The 24020-nt window shown below is 41.3% G+C and overlaps 1 long non-coding RNA gene across 1 annotated transcript in view; it reads right to left on the bottom strand.

Annotated features, from left to right (window-relative positions):
• Nucleotides 1-24020, bottom strand: part of DELEC1 (deleted in esophageal cancer 1) — a 260827-nt gene that overhangs the window by 48883 nt on the left and 187924 nt on the right. The window lies entirely within an intron of this gene.

The raw sequence follows: 24020 nt of genomic DNA, 5'->3' as shown, positions 1-24020 counted from the left end.
AAAGCAGGTGCTCCAGGTAAACCAAACCATTTGCTATGGATGTTGTTTCACATCTCCTTTTCTTTTCCCTCTGCTCATATTTCTCCCTTCATCTGTATTTCCTTCTGCCTAACTACATATCACCCTTGTCCACCTGAAAAACACCTTTTCACTTTCCTGGGCTCCCACCAAGCTCCCTCTCCTCTAGAAACCCATTCCTAGGTAAAATGAACTATCTCTGCCTTCTCTCCACCCAGGGACTTCCCTGGGCCCCCTATTACCAATAACATTTTAACTCTCTTATTTTTTAAAGTAGTATCTTTAAAAAATAACATAGTAATATCATAAAAAAATAAGACAATCTCCCCATGGGACTATGAGCTCCTTGAAAGCAGTGACCATGTATGACTTTCCACTGTACACAGCAAGATCAATCAGCACAGGGCCCAGGACAGAATATGTGCTCAACAAAATGATCTAACTCATTTGCTCATAAGTGGTTATTGGCAACCTGTTATGTGCCAGGGCTATTCAGGAGCTGGGAAAACAACGGCAAACCAATGCAGACATGTGCCTTGCATTCAGATACTAGTCAACTAATCACTCAAAAATGCATGATTAGAAGTGACAAGTACAAAGAGGAAATGGAGGTCTGTAAGAGAGGAGTTGACCTAGTGAGGGTGGTAAGAAATCCCCTCCAAGCTGGAAACCATCATTCTCAGCAAACTATCACAAGAACAGAAAACCAAACACTGCATGTTCTCACTCATAAGTGGGAGTTGAACAATGAGAATACATGGACACAGGGAGGGGAACAACACACACCGGGGCCTGTTGGGGGGTGGGGAGCTAGGGGAGGGATAGCATTAGGAGAAATACTTAATGCAGGTGATGGGTTGATGGGTGCAGCAAACCACCATGGCACATGTACACCTATGTAACAAAACTGCACGTTCTGCACATGTACCCCAGAACATAAAGTAAAATTAAAAAAAAGAAAAAAAGAAAATGCCTCCTGAAAAAGTGACATTTGAATCAAATGTGAAGTGTAAGTAAAAGTCATCAGGTAGGCCTGGGGTGGGGAAAGGGAATAAGTGACCAAAGCATCCAGGTCTCCAGGGTATTATTCTTTCTCCTCATATACCCTGAAACTCTCTGAGTCTTGATTTTCTCATTAGCCTCACTGCGGGGAACAATCCTCACCTCAGTGTGTGGTTTGTGAGGATGCCATGAGAAAATGTGTTTCATGTGCCCTGCATAGTCCTTGGCATAGAGTTCCTGCTTGATCAATGCTAATGCCCCTACTCATTCTTCTGATGCACCTAATCTTTCTCTTGATGTTTCTAATTATTTTCCTGGTGCCTCTAATCATACTCCAAATAATAGCAACAGATAGAACATGTGGCTGCTCAATAGGCCACGACAGGGAATTGGCTTTCACTGAGAAACAGCAAACTCGTATACTTCCTCCAAGTTGCAAGGATAATTGACCTCTCTCTGAATTATATCTGGATCTATTGTACTTATTTGTTTGTTCTATTGAACTGAGATTCAGGAGACTTAGATTTTAGACTTCAATTCTGCCATCACCTTACAGATAAGTCCAGAGGTTGAAACTGATGATTGGAAATTGTTTTTGTTTTACAAATTAAATTATCCCCTTTCTTCTTTCTTTCTTCTACTTCTTTCCCCTCTTCCTTTCTTCCATGTATCCTTCCTTGCTCCTGTCCTCCTTCCTTCCCTCCCTTCTTTTCTTCTCTCCTTCTTTCTCCCCCTTATTATTTTTTATTAAGTACTATATTCAGTAAAACCTGCTACGGGCCAGGCGCTGGACTAGGTACTAGGTATGGAAGATAAACTAAGGTAGATATTTTCTGGCCCTCCTATAGCTCACAGACTCATGAGGAAGACAGATGGAAAACACAGCTATTGAAATAACTGCAATGAAGATCAAGTTACTATGGAAACATGTAACCACAATCTGATCTAGTCTGGGAGGTCAAGAAAGTTACATCCCAACTATATCCTAATGATGAGAAGGATTTAATCAGGTTGGGGGTTGAAGAGTAAGCCCTTCCAGGATAAAGTAATAGCATTTGCAAAGACTTTGAGGAGAGAACAATGCCGTGTTAGAGATACTAAAACGTGGTCAGCCTGACTGGAGGGTAGATATTGAAGATAACGGCAGCCTAAGGGGAGGCTAGAGAGAAAGATAGCATGGCAACCTGCTCATGACAGGCCTAGTAGGCCACATGAGGCAATTTGAACTTTATCCGAAGAGCAATAGGAGTGGCATGATGCTGAGAGTCCTCCACCTCCTTCTCAAACCCATGCTTTTATTTCTCTAAAAACTCTAGCAATAATTTATGAAAACCATTTCCTTCTTTTCCCTCGCCTCACTCACTCATGCCTGGAGGGACCCACCCTAGATTTTGCCCCAACCTCCATTAACAGGGCAGAATTGTAAGGAGTCCCAGCTTGGAAAGTTGCCCTTGGAGCCTGGGGCTGCAGCTGGCATTGCCCACCACATCACTGACCCAAATGTGAATCAACCAGAAATTATTGGGTGAAGCTCATTCATTGGCTGTGCCCTCAGCTATGCGGTCACAGTGGAAGAACTGGCCCCCTGAAATAATCACGCCTGCCCATCGAGGAACATCTGAGTCAATGGCTCCATTCATTGGCCTGCCCACGCCTCCCAGGTCTTCTTCACTCCAGAGATATATGGCAGGATACCCATATATACAGCTGTCAGTGGAAAACCATTGCATGGGTGGGGGTGGGTGGAAAATATCTTTCTTTTTGCAAATTTATGGAAAGCAAATATTGCAGTTCTCCTCCTTCATGACGCTAAATATAGCAGGTAACAGATCCTCCTTTTAAAATGGACACTAATTTTTTTCATAAAGAAAGAATAGCAAAAACACAGGAGACAGGCAAATCTGTTACAATCATTGAGTATTGATTCAAAGGCCAATTCTTTCTATGTAGGCCCCAAACCACCCATGCAAAGGATGGCTGGCATGCAGTGGTAACTCAGAACTTACTATTAACAATGACGTGTTTGTGGTCAGCAAATTCCTCCCAAGGCTCTAAGTCCCACTCCAAAGTATATTCCTTTTCCTCTTCTTTCTGCACAGCAAACTCATTTCCTTGTATAATTTCAGTCCCTCTAGACATACTAGTGTTAATATTAATGAGATAAAAATATAATTTTTAAAAAGATCAGTAACTTCATTCCATTCTTGATCTCAGCATTATTGATATTTTGAGCCAAGTATGTCTTTGTTGTAGGGGCTGTCTTGTGCATTGTAGGATGTTTCACAGCATCCTTGGCCTTTACCCAGTAGACGCCAGTAGCACCCCTTTTTCCTCCCACCCAGAAGCTGTGACAACCAAAATGTCTCCAGACATTGCCAAATATCTTCTGGGGGTAAAATCACTCCAAGTGAAGAACTACTGGTTTATTCTCATACTTAAGAGGCAACAGAGCACAGTGGTTAAAGATGTAATAGACTGCGAAGTTGAAAAGAAACTAAGTTTCTTTGCGATTAATTTTCTTTGTGATTTAAAAGCTGTATGACCTGTAGCAAGTGATTTAACATCTCCAAGCCTCAGTTTCCTTGGTAACATGAGGAAAAGAATATACCTTACTGTTGTATTGAGAATTACATAATATAATGTGGATAAAACAATTTGCAGGGCCTGGAACCTAGTAATTACTTAATTAATGAAACTTGCCATTAACTGGAATCATTATTATTGATCATCTGTTTAGCTGCTTCATTCCTCTTTTTCAAGTTTAGTCTTCCTTCCGTGCTCCTTTTTCCTTCTCTATTCACTTACTATCTTAAAATATATCTATCTCTAAATTAATAACATACAGAAAATTGCTGTATTACTAACATTGCCCATGAAGTCTAGCCCTCTGTTCTAAATTTCTAGAAAACTGCTCTGCTTGAGTGTCATGGGATGCATCAAAAGCAGAATGTTGAAAAGCAAACAAGCCCAAATTTATCAGGGATGACTAAGAGAAAGATTATTAAAGGAAAGGCAGAAATATGAATTGTTTAAATGACTCAAGTGAGGTCACAGTTCTTAGACAAACAAAACAGATATAAAATCCCTTGAGGAATAAACTTGGGATTTAATATGATCATAGCAATCTTAGCAATACATAAACAAACAGTGGAGTGTCTAGAGTAAATAATCCAACCAGAGAAAGGTCTGATAAGAAATCATCAATCCAATTAATTGATAAACATTCATTATTTCTAGGAGCTGATTTCTGCTCAGTTTTACAAAGGACACTCTTGTGCTAGTGAGCGAATTAAGTTGCAATCAATTTTTTAAGGCTACTTCATCTCCAAGCATGGGCATTTTATCAGAGCCTTTATCATAAACTTAATAATGTCTCCTTAAAGATGATGATATGGTTTGGCTCTGTGTCCCCACCCAAATCTCATCTTGTAGCTCCCATAATTCCCACGTGTTGTGGGAGGGACCCAATGGAAGATGAGTAAATCATGAGGTTGGATCTTTCCCATGCTGTTCTCATGATAGTGAGTGGGTCTCAGGAGATCTGATGGTTTTAAAAATGGGAGTTTCCCTGCGCAAGTTATCTTTTGCTTGCTGCCATCCACATAAGATGGGACTTGCTCCTTCTTGCCTTCTGCCATGATTCAGAGACTTCCCCAGCCACATGAAACTGTAAGTCCAGTTAAACCTCTTTCTTATGTAAATTGCCCAGTCTTGGGTATGTCTTTATCAGCAGCACAAAAATGGACTAATACACTAAATTGGTACCAGTAGAGTGGAGCACTGCTGAAAAGAGACCTGAAATGCGGAAGCGACTTTGGAAATAGGTAACAGGCAGAGGTTGGAACAGTTTGGAAGGCTCAGAAGAAGACAGGGAAATATGGGAAAGGTTGGAACCTCCTAGAAACTTGTTCAATGGCTTTGACAAAAATGCTGATAGTGATGTGAACAATAAGGGCCACACTGAGGTGGTCTCAGATGGAAATAAGGAACTTGTTGGGAACCGGAGCAAAGGTGAATCTTGCTATGTTTTAGCAAAGAGACTGGTGGCATTTTGCCCCTACCCTAGAGATTTGTAGAACTTTGAACTTGAGAGAGATGATTTAGAGTATCTGGCAGAAGAAATCTCTAAGCAGAAAAGCATGCAAGAGGTCACTTGGGTGCTGTTAAAGGCATTCAGTTTTATAAGGGAAACAGAGCATAAAAGTTTGGAAATTTTGCAGCCAGACAATGCGATAGAAAAGAAAATCCCATTTTTCTAAGGAGAAATTCAAGCCAGCTGCAGAAATTTGCATAAGTAATGAGGAGCTGAATGTTAATCCCCAAGACCATGGGTAAAATGCATCCAGGGCATGTCAGAGGTCTTCATGGCAGCCCATCCCATCACAGACCCGGAAGCCTAGGAGAAAAACATGGTCTCATGGGCTGGACCCAGGGTCCCAGTGCTGTGTGCAACCTTGGGACTTGGTGCCCTGCATCCCAGCCACCCCAGCCACAGCTGAAAGGGGCCAATGTAGAGCTTGGGCTATGGCTTCAGAGTGTGTAAGCCTCAAGCCTTGGCAGCTTCCAAGTGGTGCTGAGCCTGTCAGTGCACAGAAGTGAAGAACTGAGGTTTGGGAACCTCCATCTAAATTTCAGGATGTATGGAAATGCCTGGATGTCCAGGCAGAAGTTTGCTGCAGAAGCAGGGAGCTCATGGAGAACCTCTGCTAGGGCAGTGCGGAAGGGAAGTGTGGGGTTGGAGCCCCCACACAGAGTCCCTACTGGGGCACCACCTAGTGGAGCCTTGAGGAGAAGGTCACCATCCTCCAGACCCCAGAATGGCAGATCCACTGACAGCTTGCACCGTTTGCCTGGAAAAGCCACAGACACTCAACACCAGCCCATGAAAGCAGCTGGGAGGGAGGCTGTACCCTGAAAAGCCACAGGGGCAGAGCTGCCCAAGACCATGGGAGCCTACCTGTTGCATCAGTGTGACCTGGATGTGAGACATGGAGCTAAAAGAGATCATTTGGGAGCTTTAAGATTTGATTGCCGGCCGGGCGCGGTGGCTCACGCTTGTAATCCCAGCACTTTGGGAGGCCGAGGCGGGCGGATCACGAGGTCAGGAGATCGAGACCATCCTGGCTAACACGGTGAAACCCCGTCTCTACTAAAAATACAAAAAAATTAGCCGGGCGTGGTGGCGGGCGCCTGTAGTCCCAGCTACTCGGGAGGCTGAGGCAGGAGAATGGCGTGAACCCGGGAGGCGGAGCTTGCAGTGAGCCGAGATTGCGCCACTGCACTCCCACCTGGGCCACAGAGCAAGACTCCGTCTCAAAAAAAAAAAAAAAAAAAAAAAAAAAAAAAAAAAAAAAAAAAAAAAAAAAGATTTGATTGCCCTGCTGGTTTTCAAACTTGCATGGGGCCAGTAGCCTCTTTGTTTTGGCCAATTTTCCCCATTTGGAATGGCTGTATTTACCCAATGCCTGTACCCCCATTGCATCTAGGAAGTAACTAACTTGCTTTTGATTTTACGGGCTCATAGGCCAAAGAGACTTGCCTTGTCGTAGATAAGACTTTGGACTGTGGACTTTTGAGTTAATGCTGAAATGAGTTAAGACTTTGAGGGACTGTTGGGAAGGCATAATTGGTTTTGAAATCTGAAGACATGATATTTGGGAGGTGTCAGGGGAGAATGATATGGTTTGGCTGTATGTCCCCACCCAAATCTCATCTTGTAGCTCACATAATTCTCATGTGTTGTGGGAGGGACCCAGTGAAAGATGATTAAACCATGGGGGCGGGTCTTTTCTGTGCTGTTCTCATGATAGTGAGTGAGTCTCATGAGATCTGATGGTTTTAAAAATGGGAGAAACACAGGGACATGGCTGCCTTTCTCTCTTTTTCCTTGTGAGGGCTGTTATCCCTTCACCCATTCAGGAAGCTGCCTCTGGCTCCTCAGGATTTCACTGGAACACTGAGGGGAAATAAAGGGCAGGAAAGGTCTCTGTATTAGTCAGGGTTCTCTAGAAGTACAGAAGTAATAGGATAGATAGTATATATGAAGGGGAGTTTATTAAGGAGTATTTTCTCACACAATCACAAGGTGAGGTCCCACAATAGGGCCATCTGCAAGCTGAGGGGAAAGGAAGCCAGTCCAAGTCCCAAAACCTCAAAGTATGAAAGCCAACAGAGCACCCTTCAATGTGTGGCCAAAGGCCCAGGAGCCCCTGGCAAACCACTGGTGTAACTCTAAGAGTCCAAAAGCTGAAGAACATCGAGGCCAACGTTCAAGGGCAGGAAGCATCCAGCACAGGAGAAAGATGAAAGCTGGAAGACTTAGCAAGTCAAATCCTTCCACGTTCTTCTGCCTGCTTTATTCTATCCTCGCAGGCAGCTGATTAGATGATGGCCACTCAGATTGAGGGTGGGTCTGCCTCTCCCAGTCCACTGACTCAAATATTAATCTCCTTTGGCAACACCCTCACAGACACACTTAGGAACAATACTTTGCATCCTTCAATTCAATCAAGTTGACACTCATTATTAACCATCACAGTGTTCCTTTTTCAATGCTAATATAATCATCTAGTATTGGTTTCCATTGGGCATAATGGGATCTAAAATCTGAGTCTGGGTTCCATGGATGTTCAAATCTGAAGCTTTTTGAAGATGTGTTTATAAGTCCTTCATGGACATTCCTCCATCACCTCAGGGTGTCCCACTTCCAGTATCCTGTGGTGGACTCCCTACAATTTCCCTTTGGCCTCTGGTGACCTCATTGATACTTTCTACTGGGGTCTCATCACCCATCCAGAAATCTCTCTTGGGAAAAATTACAACCTCTTTTGGATGACTCCTGGGCAGCTCTTTCCAAGTGACCACCATCTGACCCATTAGAAGTATATATCCTATGCTCCAATGCACTCTGGAAGAGCAGGTATTTTTCAGTAGAACTCTCCCTCATCATCTATTACCAGAGCAAATACCAGGCACAGTTTTTCTTATTAGGCTTTAACAGAGAGGAAGCCAGCGTCAGCCACTGCCTACAGTTTCCAGTCTCCTTAAAGCTTCACTCACTCACTGAAGTGAGTGAAATCTTCTTTTCGTTCATTTTATATCCTCCAGGTGAATATTGGGCTATTGGTCACATAATCTTTAAGCTCATCCTCTGCATATTCTGCATGGGTCACTCTAGAATATAACAGTAGTTGGCACTATATATTTTTTTATTTTTTTTTCCTTTTTTTATTATACTTTAAGTTCTAGGGTACATGTGCACAATGCGCAGGTTTGTTATATATGTATACATGTGCCATGTTGGTGTGCTGCACCCATTAACTCATCATTTACATTAGGTATATCTCCTAATGTTATCCCTCCCCTGCTCCCCCACCCCATGACAGGCCCTGGTGTGTGATGTTCCCCTTCCTAGGTGCACCTTGGGAAGAGGGCTTAATCTTCATACACATATCATTCACAAATACTTGTTAACTCAATTCACAAACACTTATTAAGCACTACTACATGCCAAGTACTATGCCAGATTCTGAAGGATAGTAAATAAACATGCAAAAATTACACAATATATATTCTTCACAGAGTCTATAACCATGAGTGGGATAGACATCCAAGTCCAGAGTCTAATGATAAAACTCTTGAGAGAATAATATAGCTGATCTTAATTTCAAAAGGTAGAAGCAGATTTGGTTAAACATCAGTCCTGATGACTTGTTGATGACATTTGAGAAGGTTAATTGTACAAAAAACTTTTATTTTTAATGCAAAGGGCGTATTAGTATCAGATGTTATAAGAAACCTACCAAGTATAAGTGTTGAGCTGTGTAGGGCTCACAGTTGTAATACACACTTCCTATGACATTCTCTTTTACTACTGAGCATGGCTTATTATGGTATTCAGTAGTCCTAAGGCACAGTACATCTTTCCTCATTTCCTCATCTTTTATTCATTATTCTTTTTTCTTCTTCACCTTCATAGATTTTAATTTCAATCTAATTCTATTTGATCCCTATTCTACTATTTTATTAACACATCTCCTATGGCTTCTGAGAGATTGCCCACTTGATTCCATCATGTGCACTTCTTAAAACAGATACAAATTTGATTAAGAAAAAAAATCACAGATATGTCTTCTTTAAACTAATCATTACCTATACATATCCCCTCAATGAAAGCAGAGTCGTCCAATGCAGCCCACTTAAAATGTAAAGGATTATTTTCACTTGTCTTGAATGTATTATAAAGTAGAGCCTAACATGAAACTAAAGGAGTAACTGAAAAATTTATTTAAGTTTCCTTACACAAATAGATTTCACTTATGAAAATCTCCTCTAAAGTTCAAGGCAGAAAATGTTATTTTAAAAAATTAGATTGAAGATATTTTTAAAAATTATAGGCCAGGCATGGTGGCTCACGCCTGTAATCCCAGCATTTTGGAGGCTGAGGTGGGCAGATCACGAGGTCAGGAGTTCGAGACCAGCCTGACCAACATGGTGAAACCCCATCTCTACTAAAAATACAAAAAAAAAAAAAAAAAAAAAATTAGCCAGGCATGGTGGCACACACCTGTAATCCCAGCTACCCAGGAGGCTGAGGCAGGAGAATCGCTTGAACCCAGGAGGCAGAGGTTGCAGTGAGCCAAGATCGCACCATGCACATAGTATCTCTTGAATTCTTGATTTCCCTGTTTTCTTATTTACAGTATTATTTTTATTGTCAAGTTTTATAATATTTTATTCTACTAGGTAATAGTAATACTCAGAGCTAGTAATCTTAGTTATATACTTAAATGGATTTAATGTTCACTACCAATCAATCTTTTTCCTAGACTTCTCTAAGTTTTTTTTTTTCCTTTTTCATTTCTTCATTGGGTGCATTTCTTTGTCTTGTGTCTGTTTTTTTAATTCTAAGGAAGATTTATGCATGCCATAGGATGAATATCTGTATGTCTGAGGTTGTAGATCCTTTGTCTTCATCTTCTAAAGACAAGCTATGCTGGGTATAATGGGTCTAGTTTTCTTCCCTTTAAACATTATGGATATTATGCCACTGTCTTCTGCTATTACATGTTGCTGTGGAGGAGTATAAGGCAACTCTGAATTTTTTCCTTCTAAATTACTTTATTATTATTATTACATTATTATTATCACATCTGAAATGTATTAAATTTACTGGGATCTGTGCTGTTGATTCTATATAAAAATTTCTTGGCATGTAATATGATGATGTTTCTTTCTGTTAAATTATTTTCATCTCATAAAACATTTTCTAATGTGATTGTTCTCAAGCACAGCTTTGTCCTTGACTATGTTTTCAGTTGAGTTCATTCTACTTCTGGAATTTTCATGTGTCTTCCACTTCAATATTACTTAAAATTTCTTCTTTGATTATTTCTTGAGCTCTTCTCACCTTCTTTTTTTTTTTTTTTTTTTCCTTTTTTTTAAACTAGAACTCTTGCTTTTTAGCTCAGAGCTCCCTTTTTTATGCAAAAGAGATATCAGGGTGACCTAATGTTCTTGAAGCTGTCAGGAACTGGAAAACTATTTGCTAGAACTCTTCCTCCAGTGATGTGTGTTCTTTTGTTTGCTTTTCATTGCTTTGCTTATTCAGTGTCTATGCATAAACTTCTGTTCTTATTTCTTGCTCATAATTCTTTTTAACATGACAAAGTATTTACTAAACAATATTGTGCAGAGTGAGGAGTGCAGAAGTCAAAGATGGAGGGAAGTTCTTTAAAGGCAGTATTCATTTTTATTGCAAGTTTGTTTTCCAGAACACTTTTATCAAATTTAACCCTTCCATTCCTGCATGCAGCTGTCAATTCTTTCTGGTTTAGGTATTTGGAAGATCAGTTTGGCTTCCATGCTATCTCTGTATACACAAGCCTTCTGGCTTGTCATTCGGTGAACGCTATTTTCATGTCATCCTCCACCTTTCTTTTCCCCAGAGATGCAGTGACCATCTAGGTGGGCTAAATCACAATCAGTTACAAATATCATGATATAGCGTCCATCTCCAGACCAGTGGTTTTTTATAGCATTATCTCTCTTCTTCCATGGCTTGCCACAATTTTAAATTCTTCTACTTTAATCAAAGGACCACTGAATGGTCTTTTGAGGATTGTGGCACTTCTAGGAAAATCTGCACCCAGTTTCAGGTCCATAACAAGATTTCGTGGTGCTAAGTAGGAATATATCAAAGTCTGTGGTTCAGGGTTATAGCTATTTCCACGTTCACGGAAGATGGAGTAGATTTTATTTCTTTTTTTTGTTTGTTTGTTTTCTTTTTATCATTTTCAGAAAACTTAAAGGAAAGATTTATCAGTCTTTAATCCAATCAAGTCTCTTTGAGTGCTTCACAATCCCCATGTTAAGAATTGATCACAGTGCCCATGTAAATTGCATTGCTCTGCTTCCAGCTAGAGAAAAGCATGTGAGGAAGGTCTAGAGGCTGCACCTGTACATTTAATCAGCTTCCTTTAGTGAAAGATGATCATTTTGAAAGACATATTTTGTATTCTGTGTTTAAACTAGGACTTGAAAGAGGAGAAAATTGACCTATAGTTAGTTCATTATGCCCTGCTCTTTGCTAGTTCTCTTCTTTGAACAAACCCCACTACTCATATCACTTAGAGATTATGACTCTTTAAATCCTCTAAGAGCTCCTCCAGTGCCTAGCACAAGGTGTACCACCCAGTACACTCAAACAATGGGAAATCAAATGAAATAATTCCAGAAATTTACTGTGCAAAACAAATCCCACCTTTGCAAAGCTAAAGCTCATCTTTCTCCGAAACCTCTCTCTCACTCCTTACAGTTTCTCCATGCAGGTTCCCTCTTTCTGGAGATAAACTGAACAGAGGAATCTTGTTTGCTATATTTTTTGCAGGCAGCATCATGTGAAATAGGCACAGTGAAATGATTTCAACTGCAGCCCTTATTTTTCCATTTTTGTTCAAGACTCGAGAGTCCAGCTTGCCCAGGCCTGAAGCAAGAATGAAAAATTAAGTAAAAAGTTTAAAATCATGATGCTCAGAATCTCCATCCCAGGCCTGGAGGCAGCTCCTGGAAAATATGTGTCACATTTTTAAGCAAGACTCTCTGCTCCCTCCTTTTTCTTTCCTCCAAGACTCTGGAGCAAGCTTTGGGTGGGGCTCCTCTTCTCCCTAGAGGAACAGGCTGCTATTTTGGGGAATCTGATTGGGTTTCATGTTAACTGGAAACTTTGCCGCAAGGAGTGGCTCAAGGTCAAGAGAGACAGCTTCCACTTTGCTGTGTATTAGAAAGACTACCCATACGCAGGTGCTTTGGCATCAAGAAACCTGATTTAAATCTCAAATCCTGGGTCTGCACTTTCTAGCCATTTGACCTGAGTCAAATTACTTAAGTTGTCTGAGCTTCCATTTTTCTCATCTGTAAAATGGGTTTAATAAAATCTGTATCAGATAATCATATACACATGACAATTAGCATAGTTTCTACCAAAGAAGTACTCAATAAATGCTAAGTCATATGCAAAAACACACACTCTCTTCCTCCCTCCCTTTCTCTGTCTCTCTCTCTCTCACACACACACACACACACATGCACACACACATACATGTATGACCATCATTCACTTGGTACCAGCTGTGTCCTTGAGCCAACTCTATGAATTGGTTTTTAGGACAATTATTTTGCAGATGCAAATGATAAAAGTGAGACACAGCAATGTCAAGTAACCTGCCTGAGGTGGCATAATCAGGAAGTGAAGCAGTGAAACTCATATTTGAACTCAGATCTCTGATTCCAAAGCCCGTGTTCTTAAATGGTCTGACTGCTTCATTTCAAATCATTCACCCAACATATCCCAAATTATCTTCTCAACCCAAACCAAAGTACCCAAAGTGCCCTTACCTCAGGTTGATAAAGGGGCATTGCAAGAAAAATCACACATTGACCAAACCTCTTCTCACCACACACCTCCCTTCTCTGTTCCTCTGCAGGGGTAGCACTCTAAGTCCTCATCAGCTGTCTCTTTAATAAAAACTAAAGAGGACAGAGGATGAGGTCTGCGTTAGGTGCCCAGGAAGAAATGGTGCCAGGATAGTAGAGGGGCTTGGAAGGGAGGCAAGGACCATGAAAAAATTGAGGACCGAGGGCAGGTCCCCCTGTCCCCCTGCTGTTACTGGGCCACCTTAGGATCTGGGACTGTCGGCAGCTAAGCAGGCAAGACCAGGGCCCTCCCTGTCTGTCTCTGAGGTCATTCCCCAAGCACTCCACAGCCCTGACTTGCCAGGGATTAGCCCTGTCTGTAAGGGAGGTGCTGCCCCTGCCTGGCTCTGTGTCCTCTGGTTCCAGACTTCGAGCCAGTCCTAGAACCGACTAAGTTGCCCACTCCTTGCAACTCCTTCCACACTAGGTATGGACCCATTCTGTCTATTTATCTATTTGCGTCCATACAGAGAATCAATTTTATCTGCATATCCCTGGCACATAGCAGAGTCGGTGCTTAGTAAATGCCTATCTGTCTGAAGGACATCAAGGTATGGAGAAAAATGTCTTCAGAATTAAAAACATGGATTTAAATGCTAACCCTGGCCAGGCGCGGTGGCTCACACCTGTAATCCCAGCACTTTGGGAGGCTGAGGTGGGCAGATCATGAGGTCAGGAGATCGAGACCCTCCTGGCTAACATGGTGAAACTCTGTCCCTACTAAAAATACAAAAAAATTAGCCAGGCGTGGTGGCGGGCGCCTGGAGTCCCAACTACTCGGGAGGCTGAGGCAGGAGAATGGCGTGAACCCAGAAGGCGCAGCTTGCAGTGAGCCGAGATCGTGCCACTGCACTCCAGCCTGGGTGACAGAGCGAGACTCCATCTCAAAAAGAAAAAAAAAAAATGCTAACCCTCCCACTCAGTCTCTGTGACACCTTGGGTCATTACAATGTCTCCATGGGCCTTTTTCTTTTTTTTTTCATTTGCAATTGGAACTGATAATTCTTCCAATTCAATACTGCTGGGTGGATCATGTGAGATAATGCAAGTGAGAGAAGCTCATAAACTGTAAAGTGCTTACCAATGAGTAATTCTCAGGAAGACCAAGTGTCTAATGTCCCATGATTGGAGCAGCTATCCTGATCAGAGACTCATTTTACAGGTGCATGTGTGTCTTGAACATTTGTCTTATGCTTTCTGTGTGCTTAGAAGTGGTTCCTTACATCATTATTATAGTACACTGCATTTATCCATCATTCATTCATTGATTCGTTTGTATTATTTCATTCAGAATATGTTTATAACTTGGTATTTTCCAGGTTCTGTGATAAGTTCAAAAGATACCACAGTGAGGAAAGCAGACATGGATTTTGTCTCTTGGTGCTTATGGACTAATGGGAGAGAAGGGCATTATATAGATAGTAATTCAAATATTTTATTATAGTTGTGATAGTGCAAAAAGTGAAAGATACAGAAAATCAGAGCAGTATATAACAGAGCATAAACTGTGTGTGTGTGTGTGTGTGTGTGTGTGTGTGTGTATTTTCATGGTAGTGAGGTGGAGAGTCAATGCTTAAAAATAGTGAATACTTTCCTTAGAACATGTCAATTAAACACAGCCTAAATAATGAGTAGGACATCAGCAGGTTAAATGTCTGTGTCTTGTGTGTGCAGAGGGTGTTCATGGGTGGGGGTAGTTAGACACAAGCCTTTCAGAAAGAGATCAATTGGCAGCAAGATGACCACCAGGTAGGAAAGAGCTTGGCATCTAGAAAGCTGTTTGGGGAAGAGACAGGAAAAGACACATTCTGTCGAGTCTGAGATTTGTCTCACTTTTTCCTGTTGGCTTATACCAATGCTGCCAGCTACACAGAAGAAAAGAAGAAAGAGAAGGAGGAGAGAGAGGAGGAGAAGGAAAGGAGAAGGGAAATGTGGAAGGGGAGAAGGAAGAGGACTTTTGGATTTCTTTAAAAGGAAAGAGGAAATATAATTATTCTTTATGGAATTTTTGCCATTCTGCCTGGGTTCTCTGTCTAACGAGTGACCTCATTTCACTCCACCATTTGGGAAAAATGATAGGGATTATCTAGAACTTCTCTCTTTTCTTCACATTCAGCATCCAATTACCACTGTTTCTACCCACAGAATCTTCAAATCTGGGGGACAGGCTTGCTGAGGACAACATGGAGAATCCCCCGGTGCCCATGGGTTCCTGGGCATATTGGCCATGTTTGAACCAGCTTCCTTTCACAGAGTACTTAGCCATCATCTGGGGCTGGAAGAGGTCCTGTAGCAAACGAGGATTTCTGGCTGAGGCTACCCCCTGGTGCTATCCAAAGGCTTCTGGACTGACCCCAGCCTTTGACCACCCGATGGGTGTCAGCAACAGGGTCTTCAACTTTTCTATCCTAATTTCCTCCTTTCCTGTCCGTGACCGTCATATCTCCTACCCTCTCTACCCTCACATTCTATAAAATGTGCAGGAAATTTTATAGTTCAGGGAAGCCTGTGAGCCCTATGTAAATCAGACACCACCTCCTCAAACCTGACTGTAAATCTGGCGCATCTGCCACCAGCCGTCTTTCCTCTCAGAAATCCCATCTCTCTCAATAGAGAACTGTTTTTCTTTCTCTTTCTTCTGCTTTTTAAACCTCCACTCCAAAAAATAAAATAAAAATTAAAAAAAGAAAGAAAACAAAGAAAATCCCTGACATTTCCTTGCTAATAGAAGTTACTGAACTTAGGCTAGGCATGGTGGCTCACATCTATAATTCCCACAGTTTGAGATGCCAAGTGGGGGAGGTTTGCTTGAGGCCAGGTGTTTGAAACTTGCCTAGGCAAAATAACAAGATCCTGTCTCTACAAAAATAAAAATTAAAAAAAAATTAGCCAGGTGTGGTTGTGTATGCCTGTAGTCCCAGGTACTCCAGAGACTGAGGCAGAAGGATTGCTTGAGTCTGCAAGTTCGAAGCTGCAGTAAGCCACATATGATAATCCACCACACTTCAGCCTGAGTGACAGAGCGAGGTTCCATCTCTTAAAAAAAAAAGTTACTGAATTTCATTGGAACTGTTTATTTCACAATTTCTTAACCATATCTTGAATTTGCCAGGGGCGTGGACAAGTTCCTCCAAATCTAGACCACATATATACCTAATATTGATATTTTCTGATATCCACTGATTAGTTAATATTATGAACTAACTGTACTAAATAATTTACATATGTAATTTAATGTGACACATATTATTATAATGCAAGTACTTTTCCCAAGATCACAGATAAGAAGTGGCAGAGACAGTACTCAGGACAAAACTCTTTTGATTCCAAAGTCTGTATTATTAACCGGTATACTTTACTCATTCTCAAAATGTGGAGTAAAATAGAAAATTAAATTTTGAGGTAGAAAATTTACTTATAAATTATATCATTCTTAAATTATATATATATATATATATATATATATATATTTCATGTTGAGGGAGGAGAAAGTGGCATACACATAAATAAAGGAAGTGGTAGGCTGAATAATGTCCCTGCACAAGACATCCTCATGCTTGGATTCTGTGGCTATTCATTATCTCATGTTGCAAAAATGAGATTTTGCAGGAATGATTAATTAAAATTTTTCAGATGAAAAGTTTATCCTGGATTATCTAGGTAGACCCTAAATGTAATCACATATATCCTTATAAGAAGGAGGCAAAGGGAGATTTCACACTCAGAAGAGGAAGCAATGTGATTACAGGGGCAGAGATTGGAGTAATGCAGCCACCAGCCAAAAAATAAAGACAGCCACTAAAAAATCAAAGGGGCAAGGAACACACTATCCCCTAGAGCACCCTAAAGTAACACATCCTACTGACAACTTGATTTCAGCCCAGTAATACTGATTTTGGACTCTTGGTCTCCAATAATTGGGAAAGGATACATTTCTCATGTTTTAGGCCACCAAATTTGTGTAATTTGTTATAGTAGCCATTAAAATTAACACATGGGACAAATGAATGTTTATTTAGCAGAATGAATGAATAAGTGGTGAATGTATAAGAGAACAAATAAATTGTACAGTGAAGGATTCCGATCAAAAACACATAGAATTTATAACTTCCAGGGTAAGCCTTACACAATTGTACATATGACAGAACTGGGACTGAGTTTAAATGACTTTTATAAATCACCAGCTAATGAGAAAAGGATTTGGGAATAGACGCCAGGCTTCCTGACTCCTAGTTATGCCTCTTTGAAACTGTAATCCACTTTCTCCTCCCTCAATACAAAATATATATATTTAAGAGTGATAGAATTCATAAGTAAATTTTCTACCTCAAAATTTAAATTTCTGTTTTACTGCACACTTACTTATGTCCAGCTGATGTATAATTGGTGGGGAGCAGAGACCACAGTTCCTCAGCCACCACAGCTGTGAACCCCGTGAGAGCAGAAAACATCCTTTTTTTTCACATTATTTCTAGTCCCTGGCATGATGTCTGGTACCTAGTAATACTTGGTGAATATTTGATTAAATAAAGAAGAAATGAATCAAAGAAATTGAATATCAGACTCAGTAAAAATTGTGATTTAGTACATTTTCCCCTTTTATTATGACCCTGAATGCTTGAGTCACTAAAATATTGGTAAAAATAATTTCCAAATGAGTGGGAAATGTTAGCTGGTAGTATAGTTATGGATGTGTCCGTCTTCACCATGAGCTGAAAATGTTATGAGAGGAGACAATGTTTTCCGGTGTTTCAGTATTTCTCCTCTCATGGGGGTTGAACAAATCTGTATTCAATGCAAGTAAAGCTATGTCAAGGCCCCTTTCTCTGGGACTTTTATGCTTCTGGGACTCAAATCTCACTGTGTCTTTCTGTGACTTTGTGAAAAGGCTCCAACTTGAATATAAGTGGCATTTGTATCATTTCAGCCACCATGCACCCCCATCGCTGTATGTAATTGAGAGCTAACTCTTTCTTCCTCAGGGAGGAATTACCTACGGAAGATTCATGCCTTTGGGATGTGGCGTTCCCAGTTGAAAGGCTCCTGTTAATTTATAGGAGGCTATAAATCAGCAGGAAAAGAAACATTGGCCCACAACCCATGAAAGGAAAATACATCCTTCAGGACCAAATGCAAACCTGGCCACAAACTTATGGGTGATTTAAGACCCTGGGCTTACTTACCTGTCCCTGGCTGATTTAGATTCTTTGGGGCTTCTCTGCTTAGAGCAAGGGAAGGAGGGTTTTGCACAGATCAGTGACCACGAATGAAAGAGATACAAAATGTCATTCAGTTAATGATACATCGCCAACCATGCTATTTCTCCTGAAAAGAGTGATGCCATCCTTTGCATCATTTACCATGACCCTGCCAATTGGCTGTGGCCCTTGTGGGCCCTTGGGCCAAGGTTTATACTTGTAGGAGGCAGCTCATATTCAGATATTAATTTAAAACTGACATTCTTAGCCTTGGCCAAGGTGTTTAACAGACTGCTCTTGTGGGCTGGAAGCAAGGAAAACAAACAACAACAAAAAAAACATGTCTATAACTTCTTTGAGGTGGTGGTTCCCCAGATGCATATAAATGTGAAAACTCATCTAACTGAATACTTAGAATCTGTATATTTTATTGTATGCAAGATTATAAGAAAGTTCCAATGGCATTATTTCTGGGAGTGATAAATGATTATTTAATAACTAGAAACTATTTGTCAGTTTGTGATTTCTGATCAAGGCAATAAATGTTTCCCAAGCACCTGCAATTATTGGTCAAATTCTGCATTAGATGCTGGAGATAGAAAGTCCCTGTCCCCAAGTGGCTTCTGGGCCAGAGGAAGAGGCCAGGCATTTAAAGAGACAATTCTAAGAGAGCCCAGTGAGTGCTATGATGAGGTACATATAGAGAGGGGATATGGGATCAGACAACCCATTTGACTTACTTGGAGGTCAAGGGTAGATTTCTAGGGCTTGAGGAAGGATAGAAGTTTTCTATTCAAAGAGAAGGACAATTGGAATAGGGAAAAGAGCCTTAACAAAGAAACATGCAGTAGTGTGAAATAACAGTTTGGGGTTTATTTAAATCATTATGAGTAGTAGTGTTGGATCAGAAAGTATGAGGTTGGAGAGGGCAGTCAATGAGACTGGAAACCTTAAAAAATGAATTTTTTCCAGATGAAAGATTGTCTCCACTGAGTTCAAGGAAAGCATACTAGAGACTGCATCCACATTTAGGTAGACATGGGAACAAGGGAATATTATTTTATTCTGTTTTACCCATTGACATAGTGGAATAAAAAGTAAGATAATGAAGGTAGCATTGTACAGGGGTGAGTAGGCTGGATAGAAACTAGGAGACCTGGGTTCCAGGCCCCTCTGTTTCAGGACATTTACAGTGTGACTTTGGGCAGGCCTCTGCTTCTCTGAGCCTGTTTTTCACAAGTCAGTTGGGGATAATAATAGCTACTTCACAAACTTTGAGTGAGATGCAGAGATATATTGGGTAAAGCTCTTTGGATATTATAAAAGCTTTTCTTACATTTGGTTATAAAATTGATAGGAGGTGCAGGAGGAAGTTTACATATATCAAGTTATTTCCAACTTTTAATTTCAACAAATCTGGCAGACGACCCCAGAAGGGAGTGAATGAAGATTTGGCTGCCTAAGTGGGGGCACGAATGTATCCAGCTAGATATTTAGAGAAGAATACTACAAATACCCAAGAGAGGAAAGAGGTGGCATCAGGAAGGGATGTTTTGTAGACTTAATGATTTTTGTGAACTCTCTACAAGGCTCTTACAAATGCCCCCAGTGTAGGGATATTGGAACCATGTCACGCTTCCTGCCCCAGGGCCTTCACACGAAGTGGGAGGCAAGACTATAATTCCCTGGGCACAGTCCAGGAATGGGCATAGCTTTTGGCACCATTGAGTCATCCACAGGATATGACAAGACTTTCAGGGCGTCCCCTATGCCTGCACTGACCCATCTTAATGCTCTGTTGAGGCCCAAATCCTGTCTGTAAATGGAAGACCCCCAGCTCTCACAGGGGTCCCCCACTGCTGTTCTGTGGGAGCCATCCAGTCCCGTCCAATTGATTGATTTCTCCGGATACACCAAGGGTGGTCCTGGGGGGAAGGGGGTCTTGGCAGGATCTCCCCCCATATTCTCAGCTCATTTGCCACTGTGCCCTTGCCAAGTTTTGCTTCCCCTGCATTTCATCAGACCATTCCTCAGTCTGTCTCCTTAAGGCACATTCAGAGAATCTGAATTAAGCTTCAGTCAGTCCCTGACTTCCCTCAGAAAGCGTTGTTAGGGAACTCGCATACAAAGGCAGCCTGGGCGCAGTCCCAGATTCCAATCTCCCTTTCCTCTCCTCCTCATCCTTCTCCCCATCATTCAATTAATTTAGCCTGTTTTCCTCAGTGGCCCCTACTCTCCTGGTCACTGGGCAAGTCCTTGTACATCCTGAAGAGCTATGCCAAGAATCTGCCCATCGTAGCCCTTCTTTCTTGCTCCCTGCAGCAGTGAGACATTTGTCTAATTATCTCTGGATCTGGAAGCAGTTTCATTTTCTAGAGAAGAGCATATCAGTTCTGGTCTGTAGCTTTTCCTATACCCCTTGGGTAATAGGGCTGCTACAAAATGCCTCCTGTCAAGTGCTCTAAGCTACCCAAAGCAAACCCTTCTCTGAGACAAAGGAGAGGATTAACTTACAGTATTGTATCCACAAGTCAGACATCAAAGTAAGTGAGTGAAACCCCTTGTTTCCACAGCCTTGTCTGAGATGTTGTTTGTAAATGTTCTCTGAAACATCAACAAGACCTTTCATAAGGTGGCTACCAGGGAGCATGGGAACTTGCCTGTCACAAGCAACAAAAATAAACCCCTCATCTGCAGAGTTATCTCCATCCAATTGCTATCACTCTAGTCTGGGCCTTCACTGGCTGTTGCCTTGCCCACTACAGTAACAGCCCACATAGTCTCCTTGCTGCCGCTTTTATAGCCCTATAGCCCATTCTCCACTTGGCAGCTAGAGAAACTCTTTAAAAATAAAATTATGGAGCTAGAGGTCATTATCCTAAGTGAAATGACTCAGAAACAAAAAGTCAGGTACTATATGTTCTCACTTATACGTGGGAGCTAAACAATGGGTACCCATGGACATACAGTGTGGAAGACAAGACATTGGAGACTCCAGAAGGTGGGAGGGCAAGAGGGGGATGAAGGTTGAAAAACTACCTATATGGTACAGTGTTCATTAATTGGGCGATGAGTATGTGGGAGCTAAACAATGGGTACACATGGACATACAGTGTGGAAGACTAGACACTGGAGACTCCGGAAGGTGGGAGGGCAAGAAGGGGATAAGGGTTGAAAAATTACCTATATGGTACAGTGTTCACTAATTGGGTGATGAGTACATGGGAGCTAAACAATGGGTAAATATGGACGTACAGTGTGGAAGACTAGACATTGGAGACTCCAGAATGTGGGAGGGCAAGAGGAGGATGAGGGTTGAAAAATTACCTATATGGTACAGTGTTCACAATTTGGGTGATGAGTACACGAAAAGCCCAGACTTCACCACAATGCAGTACATCCATGTAGCAAATTTGCACTTGCACCCCCTAAATCTATAAAAATAATAAATTATCAATCAATCAATCACATCTCATTTTTTCCTCTCTGTCCCCAGTCAAAACCCATTTAGTATAAAACTCAAACTCTTTACTCCTACTTCCAAAGCTCAATGGTCTTATTTCTGTCTACCCATCCCAACTCAACCTGTACCACTCTGTCTTACTCACTCTACTTCAGCCATAACAGGACTCTCAGTGCTCAAACTGCACCTGGTCCCATCCTCAGAGTCCTTGAAGCAGAAGATTCCCTTTGCATAGGTTCTTCTCTTTTCTGAACTTTTATATGCCAAGTTCCCGTTGTTCGATCTCAGATCTTCAGAGGCCTTTCTTGTCCACCTAATTTAAACTACCTGGCATATTATATTGGATTGAGCCAAATGACATTCCTGTTTTGTAGGTTAAATACATATTAGAAGTTTCATAAGGTTTAACCCGATAGGGTCTCTATACATATGTTTCACGACGTGAGAGTTTTTACATATAGATGTGTTGCTTATACTGTTTTTATATAATGAGAAGCACTATGTCTGACACATAGTAAGGTAAATTAAAGGTAGTTGCTGATTTTATCATTATCATCATCATCATCATCATCATCATTCTAAACCACGTAAGAAGATGTAGAAATAAATATGTAGGAACAGAGGAAACCTCATTGTTGCACTGGTTTGGGATACAGGAGAGAAGAGGTCTGAGATTAGATCTTTCATTGCTGCCCAACTTTGTGATCTTGGATCAGGCAGTATCTGTTGGAGATAACACAAGGGCTAGATTTTCAAATTAGACCCACAAGAATAAAATATTTTACCAAGTATCAAACTTTACTAATAATGTCAAAGCTATAAGTAATCACAAGGTACAGGGAACATAGGGAAAAGCCCAGGACTGCCAATACTACTCCACAGCCCTTTTCTTACCACATTAGGACTTGGTCTGATTCGGATTTAACATATGGTTCTCCAAAAGATGTACACAAGTACATTACTTGCACGAAATGAAAGCCAGCTTTTTTAACCCTGAAGTAGTTCCATCTCCTGCCATAGTTACATAGCTTACTTGACACTTTTCAAGAAGCCATTACCCATGAATCCTTAGATTCCAGGTTTGTTTACCATATACAATTCTACTACGGGGGTAAGGTTCATGCTGCTAAAAGTCTCTCAAAGATAAAGACTGCCACTAACAAATATCATTAGTGGTTTTCCCCAGAGTCTTCACAGCATGTTTACAAGGAGATTTGATCAGCCAGATTTCTTCTCCAAGGGAATTCCCAGAGAAAGGAAGGAATGCACAGCAAGCCTGGATAAACCTTTTCTTCCCAATTCTTTAGGCTGCAGTTCCTTCATCTATGAAGTGAAAATCTTGCTCACTATATCTGAGGACCCAAAGTGTTCTAAATCTCATTAGACCTACAACAAGGGAAACCATTTTCTGCTGCTGCATATACTAGGCAGAAGCTAAGTAAACAGCATATAGCAGAAGAGACTCTCTACCATGGAAATTGTTAAACTCAACCCAAAAGGCACTTTCTTACTTAAAGGTTACTCAAACCGGGCACGGTGGTTCACACCTGTAATCCCAGCACTTTGGGAGGCCGAGGCGGGCAGATCACCTGAGGTCAGGAATTCGAGACAAGCCTGGCCGACATAGTGAAACCCTATTTGTACTAATGAAACAAAAATTAGCTGGGCATCATGGCGGGCACCTATAAGCCCACCTACTCAGGAGGCTGAGGCAGGAGAATCACTTGAACCCTGGAAGCAGAGGTTGCAGTGAGCCAAGATCATGCCATTGTACTCCATCCTGGGCGACAAGAGTGAAACTCCATCTGAAAACAAACAAACAAACAAACAAAAAAGTTACTCAGCAAGCAGGTTAATGAAAAGAGTATAAACTCTGGAATCAGAAGCCTGAGTACAAGCCTCAGCTCAAGAATTTAAAGACTGCAGGTCTTTGAGGAAGTTGCCCAAACTGACCAAGCTTCTGTTTCCTCACCTGTTAGAGGAGAATCATGATATTTATCTCCTGAGTTCTGGCAAGTTTTAAAGGAGATGATGCACGTCAATGCCAAGCTCCATGACTGGCATAAAATCATTGGTAGTGATGAAGTCATTTATCCATTTATGCCACTGTATGCAATGTCCACAGTGTACAAAAATTGAATAAAATGATGGAGTTAGGCATACCCTTGAGAGCAGCGCAGATGGAGTAGGAGTTAGGCATACCCTTGAGAGCAGCGCAGATAGACCATTAGCCACTCATGTCTCCCATTCCCACCATCTAGCGCCAACCCATTCAGACAACACAGCATTCAGAACAAACATCCTGAGCCACAGATCTGAACCACTCTGTTGCTTAAAACTGTGCAATAGCTCTCAATCTCCTTAAA

The sequence above is a fragment of the Homo sapiens genome, chromosome 9 (assembly GCF_000001405.40).
Source record: "Homo sapiens chromosome 9, GRCh38.p14 Primary Assembly".
NCBI classification, from domain to species: Eukaryota; Metazoa; Chordata; class Mammalia; order Primates; family Hominidae; genus Homo; species Homo sapiens.
The sequence above is the reverse complement of the archived record's forward strand: the minus strand, read 5'-3'. Positions and strand labels throughout refer to the sequence as shown.